Source organism: Homo sapiens, chromosome X, assembly GCF_000001405.40.
Source record: "Homo sapiens chromosome X, GRCh38.p14 Primary Assembly".
NCBI classification, from domain to species: Eukaryota; Metazoa; Chordata; class Mammalia; order Primates; family Hominidae; genus Homo; species Homo sapiens.
This window is the reverse complement of record NC_000023.11, coordinates 105959405-105972134: the sequence shown is the minus strand read 5'-3', so window position 1 is coordinate 105972134 and position 12730 is coordinate 105959405. Positions and strand designations below refer to the sequence as shown.

General features: G+C 41.1%; 1 long non-coding RNA gene across 2 annotated transcripts in view; it reads left to right on the top strand.

The window, feature by feature from the left end:
- LOC105373304 (uncharacterized) overlaps positions 1-12730 on the top strand; it is a 60450-nt gene that overhangs the window by 35783 nt on the left and 11937 nt on the right. The window lies entirely within an intron of this gene.

Below are 12730 nucleotides of genomic sequence, written 5' to 3'. Positions count from 1 at the left end.
TGCTATGGGTGGTTGCTGTACAGATCAACCTATCATTTTGGTATTAAGCCCAGCAACCATTAGCTATTCTTCCTGATGCTCTCCTTCTCCCTACCTCTGACAGGCCCCAGTATGTGTTGTTTCCCATCCTGTATCCATGTGTTCTCATTGTTCAGCTCCCACTTAAAGAGAGAACATGTAGTGTTTTCTGTTCCTGTGTTAGTTTGCTGAGGATAATGGCTTCCAGGTCCATCCATGTTCCTGGAAAGGACATGATCTGCTTCTTTTTTACGGCTGCATAGTGCTCCCTGGTGTATATGTACGACATTTTCTTTATGCAGTCTATCATTGATGGGCATTTGAATGGATTCCGAGTCTTTGCTATTGTGAATGGTGCTGCAATGAACTTATGTGTGCATGTATCTTTATAATAGAATGATTTACATTCCTTTGGGTATATACCCAGTAATGGGATTGCTGGGTCAAATGATATTTCTGCCTCTAGATCTTTGAGGAATCACCACACTGTCTTCCACAATAGTTGTACTAATTTACATTCCCACCAACAGTGTATAAGGGTTCCTTTTTCTCCACAACCTCACCAGCATCTGTTATTTTATGACTTTTTAATAATGGCCATCTGACTGGCTTGAGATGCGATCTCATTGTGGTTTTGATTTACATTTCTCTAATGATCAGTTATGTTGAGCTTTTTGTCATGTGTTTGTTGGCCACATGAATGTCTTATTTTGAGAAGTGCCTACTTATGTCCTTTGCCCACTTTTTAATGGGGTTGTTTTTCTCTTGTGTGCCTTATAGACTCTGGATATTAGACTTTTGTCAGATGGACAGATTGCAAAAATTTTCCCCCATTCTGTACATTATCTGTTCACTCTGATGATAGTTTCTTTTGCTGTGCAGAAGCTCCATAGTTTACTTATATCCCATTTGTCCATTTTTGCTTTTATTGCAATTGCTTTTGGCATTTTTGTCATGAAATATTTGCCTGTGCCTATGTCCTGAATGGTATTGCCTAGATTTTCCTCTGGGGTTTTTATACTTTTGGGTTTTACATTGAAGTCTTTGATCCATCTTGAGTTAATTTTTGTATAAGGTGTAAAGAAGGGGCCCAGTTTTAATTTTCTGCATATGACTGGCCAGTTCTTCCAGCATCATTTATTAAATGGGGAATCCTTTCCCCATTGCTTGTTTTTGACAGATTTATAGAAGATCACATGGTTGTAGGTGTGTGGTCTTATTTCTGAGTTCTCTATTCTGTTCCATTGTTCTATGTGTCTGTTTTTGTGCCAGTATCTTGCTGTTTTGGTTACTGTAGCCATGTAGTATAGTTTGAAGTCAGGTAGCATGATGCCTCCAGCTTTGTTCTTTTTGCTTAGGATTGTCTTGGCTATTCAGGTTGCTTTTTGGTTCCATATGAAATTTAAAGTAGTTTTTCTAAGTCTGTGGAGAATGTCAATGTTAGTTTAATGGGGACAGCATTGAATCTATAAATTACTTCAGGCCGTATGGCCATTTTCACGATATTGATATTTACGAAGACAATAGGAAGATGACCCAGAGGCATTTCAGAGATCTTGGAGGCTGCCATGTTCACCACAGGACCAGAGTGCCAGGGCCTTGAGGGCAGAATGGCTTCTAGGGAGAAGCCCAGGTTGCACGTAGGACCTCAGTGCTCACTTCCTAGGGTTATCTCAAGTCTCTTCACCCTGCATTCATGCACAAAAGTCTTCAAATGCCCCAGCTGGGGCTCAGGAGGGTCCAGCCATGGCTTGGGTGACTACTCTGGAGGGTGCAGGCAGTGAGTCTTGGTGGAGTTCATGTAGTACTAGCTCTGCAGACATACTGAGTACATGAGCTACGGAAGCATGGTTACCTCTACCCAGATTTAAAAAAAATGCAATGGAGAGCTTCAGGATCCAGGCAAAGAACTGCCTCAGGGTCAGGGCCACTGCAGAAAGCTCCCTCTAGGGAAAAACTTAGTGGAGATGTGAGTTTGGGGCCACCACAGAGAGCCCCCACTAAGGCAATGCTTATTGGAGCCACAAGGGCAGGCCTACCCCAAGACCTGTAGAGCCACCAGGATACAATGCCAGCCTGGGAGATCCACAGGCACCTGACCAGTCTGTAAGAAGTATGGTGTGGCTTGCACCCAAGAAAGCCATGGAGGCTGGATTCCCCAGAGTCCTGAGAACCCAACTCCTACCCTAGTGTGTTTGTAAGGCAGAACATGGAGTCAAATAAGTTTAATCTCAATCCTTAAGATATAATTTTGTTTGCTGTATTGGGTTTTGGACTTAGTTGAGTCCTGCAACCTCTTTCTTCTTGCTTATTTCTCCCATTTGGAATTGGAATGTCTATCCCATGCACGTCACAACACTGTACATTGGAAGCACAAAACTTGTTTGATATTACAGGTTCTCAGCTGGAGGGGAATTTGCCTGAGTATGAATCATACCTTGATTCTCTCCCTTATCTGATTTAGATGAGACTATGGACTTTAGACAAGTTTGCGCTAGAATGAGTTATGAGTTTTGGGGCTATTAGGATAGAATGTATGTATTTTACTTGTAAGAGGGTCAGGGCCGAATGTTATTGTCTTAACATGTCCCCCCAAATTCATGTGTTGAACATTAACGGCTGATGTGCGGTCAGGCACGGTGGCCCACACCTGTAATCCCAGCACTTTGGGAGGCTGAGGTGGGCAGATCACCTGAGGTCAGGAGTTGAAGACCATCCTGGCCAATATGGTGAAACCCCGTCCCTACTAAAAATACAAAAATTAGCCGGGCATGGTGGCGGGCACCTGTAATCCCAGCTACTCAGGAGGCTGAGGCAGGAGAATCGCTTGAACCCAGGAGGTGGAGGTTACAGTGAGCCGAGATCATGCCACTGCACTCCATCCTGGGCAACAGAGCAGCACTCTGTCTCAAAAAACAAAAGAAAAAAAAATCAAAGACACTAAAAGTTAGTTTTTTTTTTTAAATAAACAAGATTGATAAACTGCCCCTAGGGTGTGGGGATACAGCCCAAAGCCAGGAATTGGGCAAAGTATGGTGCGTAGCTCTGTGGGGCCCCATGCCACCACTGCTGGCTGGACTAGCACTGTTGGGCATAGCACAGTCATGGGCAATGGCAGGTGGAGGCTTCAGCCCACACCTGCAACCTGCAACAAGGAAGCACCAGCACAGCCTCCACCCCAAAGACCTCTACTACAAACTACTGGGGGCCTTATAACTGTTTGGGACCTCAACCAGACAATCCTGAACTTTCAATCCTGCCTTCTCTGGAACCCAGCCCTGTTGACCTCAAAACCTTAAAAACTAAGGTAAGCTGTGCTCCCTCCACCCTCTAAATTTCATTCAAGGCACCATATCCCTGACTGAGGGACCTTAAGAAAGTCTAAAAAAAAAATGGCCTCCAGACATAAGTTTCACTCAAAGAAGTTAACCCTGTCACCTGCATGCGCACAAGACCAGAAGGATGACAGATCTTTGCCTTTGCTTCATTATAATACTAAAATCTCCACCCAAAGATGTGCTCATCTGCCATTTTGTAATCATGTGATATATGTGTTAGCATGACTCCTTACTACACTTGTGCACCCTGTATTCCATCACATCATGTTGTAAAGTTCACTTACCTCATGAATTATGCATGTCACACTCCTTAAGGCACCACAATGCCCCCCACTTGGGGAGGCAGCTGGATAACTTTAATTCCAGTGCTGACTCCCTTGTATTTGAACAAAAACCCCTAAAAAGGGCCTTGACTAGGAAACTTGCTGGACTTCGTGTCAATTTCCATTACATGAGAGTGTAAGAACCTGTGGTCTGTAACAGTATTATGCTTTGAATATTTGTGTTCCCTGCAAAATTCATGTTAAAACTTAGTACTCAATGCAACAATATTAAGAGTTGGGGCCTTTAGGAAGTGATTAGACCATGAGGGCTCTGTCCTCATGAATTGTATTAGTGCCTTATACAGGGGTTTGGGAAGGTGAGTTCACCCTTTCCACCCTATTTTGCCCTTGCATCTCTTCTGCCATGTGAGGTCACAGTGTTCATCCTCTCCAGATGATGCAGCAATGCACAATCTCGGAAGCAGAGAGCAGCCTTCACCAGACAACCAAACCTGCATGCACCTTGATGTTGAACTTTCTGGCCTCCGGAAGTATGAGAAATACATTTCTGTTCTTTATAAGTTACCCAGTCTCAGGTATTTTGTTATAGCATCCCAAATGGACCAAGGAAAGAAGGAATGGTGTGGGTCTGTCTATACAGGACAGCAACAAGGAGGCATAATAGGTATTATAATCTGATAGCAATAAATTCAAAGGTGGGGGCTATTAGGGAGAAAGGAGGGACAATGACGTAAGAAGGTACAATTGTTTGGAAGCTGCAATGACACAGAAGAAAGAATAAGGGCACTAAGGAGATTATAGAGATGATAAGAGATGATTAGAAATGTTTGGCCTACCTCATCAATAGCAATAATGTCTCATCTTTTAAAGTTTTAATTTCTTTGATTACATTTACTTGATTTTTTTTCATGTGTAGGTGACAGCATAATTAATTATGGTTTTCATTTGTTCTCACTATATTTCCCCTCCTCCAATTCATGGAGGGTTCGTCTTAGATGGGTAGAGAGGTTACATAGTAGAACCTAAAGCAAAAGTTTTCTGAAAACCTCCTGCTAGATTTTTTTTTGCACAATTATATTAGGCCATTCTCAAATGAAAAGGGAAAGAGGTAAATGCATTTTGTATTGAATGGAGTGGGACAGAAATACAAGAGCTTAGGGGAGAGAAGGAGATTCACTAGGCATGGGAAAGGATAGCAGGAACTATGGTTTTTAAAGCATCAGGGGCCCATGCCCACTCAGCTCCCATGGAAGTAGTGGGATGATAGTGAATATAACACTAGGTGTCTGGGCTCCCTGTCTTGACAAATATTTCCATGGCCACACATGCCTCAGAGACCACTGTAAGAAACTAAGTGAGCAATAAATGTATCAATGTAGACTAGTGTAAACTATAGGCCAGTAGGGCACCCCTGAATTTTCTGATCCATAAAAGATACCTGGGACCTTTCTATAACCCTAGTGAATGAAAGAAAAATGATTAAAATTAAATTTCCCCCAGACTGGTGGAATGGGTGTTGGAATCCAAATAACTGTTTTTGTTTGCTTGGATTCTGCACATTCGTTTGTGGAGTAAAACTCATAGTTTTTACAATATCAAATGAAGCCCATACTTCCCCAACTTTTTACATAATTTAAATTTTACCTATGGAGAAAAGCTTTTCCTTTTACATGTAGTTCAATTTGCTTTGAATTTCATTCCATTCATTTCCAACTATTTCAACATGTGAGACTCAACTTTATGGTGTTGCATGTTTACTTTTTAGACTTTTGGATAGATGATCCCATTTGGTATGCATTTTAGAGGTATCTACCTACCTGCAAATCAGACAGACTCTTTCAACTGCAAACAAAACAAAACAAAACAAAAAACAAAACAAAACATGCCTTTAGGGAATGCCTGATATCTAGCTGTTTATAGGAACATAATTAAAAATTTTGGATGAAAAAGTATACTGACAAGCTCTGAATGCCCTTAAATATGTCTCGGGATGATACAACATAAATAGTTGATCTTGAGAAAAACAATCACCTTCAAACCAAATGTCTGCATAAAACAGCCAGTTAAATGGCTTGTTAACTTTTTGTGCTATTATTTTACTAAATTATGTTTGTCATTATTTATGAGCCTCGAGTAATTACTGAAGGGTTATAGTGGCCCTTATGTGTTGTTATAAAGGTAAGTAAGTAAAATTTAGAAAGACTCAATGTCTATATTGACCTATCCTTTGTTTCACTTCAGGTTTGTGGGGTAAAATCTTTTGAAATTACCAATAATAGGTCATGACATTTTGGTCACCAGAACACAGATGATACTTTCATGAAACAACAAATGGATTCCTGAGTCTGAAGTGGTTGTAGATACAATAGCACCAAAAACAATCCAGGCAAAGCAAAAAGGGCCCATTTCTGCCCCTCAATTCATGTTTTTATTGAACAGCTTCTGTATGTTAAGCACCAAACAAGACACTTTGAAATACGAGGTGGCAAAACTGTAAGAAATGGTTAATCCATATATTTACAAAGTAGGCTGTGGACTAGCTTCTGAAAATATAAATCCATATAGAATCCATTTTACTCTTTCTTGAACTATTATTTTTAGATCAGTTGAGATGGTTGTGAACAATGTAAAATGTGACATGTGACAATGATATCTAAAACATGTTTGACCTTAATTCATTAGTTCCACCATTCAGTTTTTGGAATTAAAAAGTAGCAATACTCAATGGCTTTATTATCCTTAAGACCCTGAGTATTCTTTTTTTTATTATTATACTTTAAGTTTTAGCGTACATGTGCACAACGTGCAGGTTTGTTACATATGTATACTTGTGCCATGTTGGTGTGCTGCACCCAGTAACTCTTCATTTAACATTAGGTATATCTCCTAATGCTATCCCTCCCCCCTTCCCCCACCCCACAACAGGCCTCAGTGTGTGATGTTCACCTTCCTGTGTCCATGTGTTCTCATTGTTCAATTCCCACCTGTGAGTGAGAACATGCGGTGTTTGGTTTTTTGTCCTTGTGATAGTTTGCTGAGAATGATGGTTTCCAGCTTCATCCATGTCCCTACAAAGGACATGAACTCATCCTTTTTTATGGCTGCATAGTATTCCATGGTGTATATGTGCCACATTTTCTTAATCCAGTCTATCATTGTTGGACATTTGGCTTGGTTCCAAGTCTTTGCTATTGTGAGTAGTGCTGCAATAAACATACGTGTGCATGTGTCTTTACAGTAGCATGTTTTATAATCCTTTGGGTATATACCCAGTAATGGGATGGCTGGGTGAAATGGCATTTCTAGTTCTAGATCCCTGAGGAATCGCCACAATGACTTCCACAATGGTTGAACTAGTTTACAGTCCCACCAACAGTGTAAAAGTGTTCCTATTTCTCCACATCCTCTCCAGCAACTGTTGTTTCCTTTTTAATGATCGCCATTCTAACTAGTGTGAGATGGTATCTTATTGTGGTTTTGATTTGCATTTCTCTGATGGCCAGTGATGATGAGCATTTTTTCATGTGTCTTTTGGCTGCACAAATGTCTTCTTTTGAGAAGTGTCTGTTCATATCCTTCGCCCACTTGTTGATGGGGTTGTTTTTTTCTTGTAAATTTGTTTGAGTTCATTGTAGATTCTGGATACTAGCCCTTTGTCAGATGAGTAGATTGCAAAAATTTTCTCCCATTCTGTAGGTTGCCTGTTCACTCTGATGGTAGTTTCTTTTGCTGTGCAGAAGCTCTTTAGTTTAATTAGATCCCATTTGTCAATTTTGGCTTCTGTTGCCATTGCTTTTGGTGTTTTAGACATGAAGTCCTTGCCCATGCCTATGTCCTGAATGTTATCCTAAGTTTTCTTCTAGGGTTTTTATGGTTTTAGGTCTAACATTTAAGTCTTTAATCCATCTTGAATTAATTTTTGTACAAGGTGTAAGGAAGGGATCCAGTTTCAGCTTTCTACATATGGCTAGCCAGTTTTCCCAGCACCATTTATTAAATAGGAAATCCTTTCCCCATTTCCTGTTTTTGTCAGGTTTCTCAAAGATAAGATAGTTGTAGATATGCAGCATTATTTGTGAGGCCTCTGTTCTGTTCCATTGGTCTATATCTCTGTTTTGATACCAGTACCATGCTGTTTTGGTTACTGTAGCCTTGTAGTATAGTTTGAAGTCAGGTAGCGTGATGCCTCCAGCTTTGTTCTTTTGGCTTAGGATTGACTTGGCAACACAGGCTCATTTTTGGTTCCATATGAACTTTAAAGTAGTTTTTTTCCAATTCTGTGAAGAAAGTCATTGGTAGCTTTATGGGGATGGCATTGAATCCGTAAATTACCTTGGGCAGTACGGCCATTTTCACGATATTGATTCTTTCTACCCATGAGCATGGAATGTTCTTCCATTTGTTTGTATCCTCTTTTATTTCATTGAGCATTGGTTTGTAGTTCTCCTTGAAGAGGTCCTTCATGTCCCTTGTAAGTTGGATTCCTAGGTATTTTATTCTCTTTGAAGCAATTGTGAATCGGAGTTCACTCATGATTTGGCTCTCTGTTTGTCTGTTATTGGTGTATAAGAATGCTTGTGATTTTTGCACATTGATTTTGTATCCTGAGACTTTGCTGAAGTTGCCTATCAGCTTAAGGAGATTTTGGGCTGAGATGATGGGGTTTTCTAGATATACAATCATGTCATCTGCAAACAGGGACAATTTGACTTCCTCTTTTCCTAATCGAATAACCTTTATTTCTTTCTCCTGCCTAATTGCCCTGGCCAGAACTTCCAACACTGTGTTGAATAGGAGTGGTGAGAGAGGGCATCCCTGTTTTGTGCCAGTTTTCAAAGGGAATGATTCCAGTTTTTGCCCATTCAGTATGATACTGGCTGTGGGTTTGTCATAAATAGCTCTTATTATTTTGAGATACGTCCCATCCATACCTAATTTATGGAGAGTTTTTAGCTTGAAGGGTTGTTGAATTTTGTCAAAGGCCTTTTCTGCATCTATTGAGATAATCATGTGGTTTTTTGTCATTGGTTCTGTTTGTATGCTGGATTACGTTTATTGATTTGCTTATGTTGAACCAGCCTTGCATCCCAGGGATGAAGCCCACTTGATCACGGTGGATAAGCTTTTTGATGTGCTGCTGGATCCGGTTTGCCAGTATTTTATTGAGGATTTTTGCATCGGTGTTCATCAGGGATATTGGTCTAAAATTCTCTTCTTTTTGTTGTATCTCTGCCAGGCTTTGGTATCAGGATAATGCTGGCCTCATAAAATGAGTTAGGGAGGATTCTCTCTTTTTCTATTGATTGGAATAGTTTCAGAAGGAATGGTACCAGCTCCTCCTTGTACCTCTGGTAGAATTCTGCTGGTCTTGGACTTTTTTTGGTTGGTAAGCTATTAATTATTGCCTCAGTTTCAGAGCCTGTTATTGGTCTATTCAGAGATTCAACTTCTTCCTGGTTTAGTCTTGGGAGGGTGTATGTGTCCAGGAATTTATCCATTTCTTCTAGATTTTCTAGTTTATTTGAGTAGAGGTGTTTATAGTATGCTCTGATGGTAGTTTGCGTTTCTGTGGGATCGGTGGTGATATCCCCTTTATCATTTTTTATTGTGTCTGTTTGATTCTTCTCTCTTTTCTTCTTTATTAGTCTTGCTAGCGGTCTATCAATTTTGTTAATCTTTTCAACAAACCAGCTCCTGGATTCATTGATTTTTTTGAAGGGTTTTTTGTGTCTCTATTTCCTTCATTTATGCACTGATCTTAGTTATTTCTTGCCTTCTGCTAGCTTTTTGAATGTGTTTGCTCTTGCTCCTCTAGTTCTTTTAATTGTGATGCTGGGTGTTAATTTTAGATCTTTCCTGCTTTCTCTTGTGGGCATTTAGTGCTATAAATTTCCCTCTACACACGGTTTTGAATGTGTCCCAGAGATTCTGGTATGTTGTGTCTTTGTTCTCGTTGGTTTCAAAGACCATCTTTATTTCTGCCTTCATTTTGTTATGTACCCAGTATTCATTCAGGAGCAGGTTGTTCAGTTTCCACGTAGTTGAGCAGTTTTGAGTGAGTTTCTTAATCCTGAGTTCTAGTTTGATTGCACTGTGGTCTGAGAGATAGTTTGTTCAACAGAAATTCTACATAATTTCTGTTCTTTTACATTTGCTGAGGAGTGTTTTACTTCCAACTATGTGGTCAGTTTTGGAATAGGTGTGGTGTGGTGCTGAATAGAATGCATATTCTGTTGATTTGGGGTGAAGAGTTCTGTAGATGTCTATTAGGTCTGCTTGGTGCAGAGCTAAGTTCAGTTCCTGGATATCCTTGTTAACTTTCTGTCTCGTTGATCTGTCTAATGTTGACAGTGGGGTGTTAAAGTCTCCCATTATTATTGTGTGGGAGTCTAAGTCTCTTTGTAGGTCTCTATGGACTTGCTTTATGAATCTGGGTGCTCCTGTATTGGGTGCATATATATTTAGGATAGTTAGCTCTTCTTGTTGAATTGATCCCTTTATCATTATGTAATGGCCTTCTTTGTCTCTTTTGATCTTTGTTGGTTTAAAGTCTGTTTTATTAAAGACTAGGATTGCAACCCCTGCCTTTTTTTTGTTTTCCATTTGCTTGGTAGATCTTCCTCCATCCCTTTATTTTGAGCCTATGTGTGTCTCTGCACGTGAGATGGGTTTCCTGAATACAGCACACTGATGGGTCTTGACTCTTTATCCAATTTGCCAGTCTGTGTCTTTTAATTGGAGCATTTAGCCCATTTACATTTAAGGTTAATATTGTTATGTGTGAATTTGATCCTGTCATTATGATGTTAGCTGGTGATTTTGCTCGTTAGTTGATGCAGTTTCTTCCTAGCCTCTCTGGTCTTTACAATTTGGCATGTTTTTGCAGTGGCTGGTACCAGTTGTTCCTTTCCATGTTTAGTGCTTCCTTCAGGAGCTCTTTTAGGGCAGGCCTGGTGGTGACAAAATCTCTCAGTATTTGCTTGTCTGTAAAGGATTTTATTTCTCCTTCACTTATGAAGCTTAGTTTGGCTGGATATGAAATTCTTGGTTGAAAATTCTTTTCTTTAAGAATGTTGAATATTGGTCCCCACTCTCTTCTGGCTTGTAGAGTTTCTGCCAAGAGATCAGCTGTTAGTCTGATGGGCTTCCCTTTGTGGGTAACCTGACCTTTCTCTCTGGCTGCCCTTAACATTTTTTCCTTCATTTCAACTTTGGTGAATCTGACAATTATGTGTCTTTGGAGTTGCTCTTCTCGAGGAGTATCTTTGTGGCATTCTCTGTATTTCCTGAATTTGAATGTTGGCCTGCCTTGCTAGATTGGGGAAGTTCTCCTGGATAATATCCTGCAGAGTGTTTTCCAACTTGGTTCCATTCTCCCCGTCACTTTCAGGTACACCAATCAGACATAGATTTGGTCTTTTCACATAGTCCCATATTTCTTGGAGGCTTCGTTCGTTTCTTTTTATCCTTTTTTCTCTAAACTTCTCTTCTTGCTTCATTTCATTCATTTGGTCTTCCATCACTGATACCCTTTCTTCCAGTTGATCGAATCAGCTACTGAGGCTTGTGCATTCATCACGTATTTCTCGTGCCATGGTTTTCAGCTCTATCAGGTCCTTTAAGGACTTCTCTGCATTGGTTATTCTAGTTAGCCATTCGTCTAATTTTTTTTCAAGGTTTTTAACTTCTTTGCCATGGGTTCGAGCTTCCTCCTTTAGCTTGGAGTAGTTTGATCATCTGAAGCCTTCTTCTCTGAAGTCGTCAAAGTCATTCTCCATCCAGCTTTGTTCCATTGCTGGTGAGGAGCTGCGTTCCTTTGGAGGAGGAGAGGTGCTCTGATTTTTAGAGTTTCCAGTTTTTCTGCTCTGTTTTTTCCCCATGTTTGTGGTTTTATCTACCTTTTGTCTTTGATGATGGTGACATACAGATGGAGTTTTGGTGTGGATGTCCTTTCTGTTTGTTAGTTGTCCTTCTAACAGTCAGGACACTCAGCTGCAGGTCTGTTGGAGTTTGCTGGAGGTCCACTCCAGACCCTGTTTGCCTGGGTATTAGCAGCGGAGGCTGCAGAACCGCGGATATTGGTGAACAGCAAATGTTGCTGCCTGATCGTTCCTCTGGAAGTTTTGTCTCAGAGCAGTACCCGGCCATGTGAGGTTTCAGTCTGCCCCTACTGGGGGGTGCCTCCCAGTTAGTCTACTCGGGGGTCATGGACCCACTTGAGGAGGCAGTCTTTCCATTCTCAGATCTCCAGCTGTGTGCTGGGAGAACCACTACTCTCTTCAAAGCTGTCAGACTGGGACATTTAAGTCTGCAGAGTTTTCTGCTGCCTTTTGTTTGGCTATGCCCTGCCCCCAGAGGTGGAGTCTAGAGAGGCAGGCAGGCCTCCTTGAGCCGAGGTGGGCTCCACCGAGTTTGAGCTTCCCGGCTGCAATGAGCAAGACTCCGTGGGCATATGACCCTCCGAGCCAGGCACAGGATGTAATCTCCTGGTGTGCCATTTGCTAAGACCATTGGAAAAGCACAGTATTAGGATGGGAGTGACCCGATTTTCCAGGTGCCATCTATCACCCCTTTCTTTGACTAGGAAAGGGAATTCCCTGACCCCTTGCGCTTCCCGGGTGAGGTGATGCCTTGCCCTGCTTCAGCTCATGCTCAGTGCACTGCACCCACTGTCCTGCACCCACTTTCCGATACTCCCTAGTGAGATGAACCCGGTACCTCAGTTGGAAATGCAGAAATCACCCATCTTCTGCCTCACACGCTGGGAGCTGTAGACTGGAGCTGTTCCTATTCAGCCATCTTGGCTCCCTCAGACCCTGAGTATTCTTAAATCAGGGGTAAGGGCTCTATTAAAAAAATGCTATTATATCAGATGGAAATCAGTGTTAAAAAATGATTCAGTCAATAGATTTGCAGCATCGACATCCTTAGACCCCACTGCTCCTGCAAGTTACTAATAGCGAATAGCTAATGACTTCTAGTCATGACCTACCCTGTACCCATGCTTTGATAAAAAGTCCCCAGAATAATGCCCTCTCTCAGCCTTAGGGACTCACCCTGTCTGAGCTAATTCCAATTTGTGATGATACT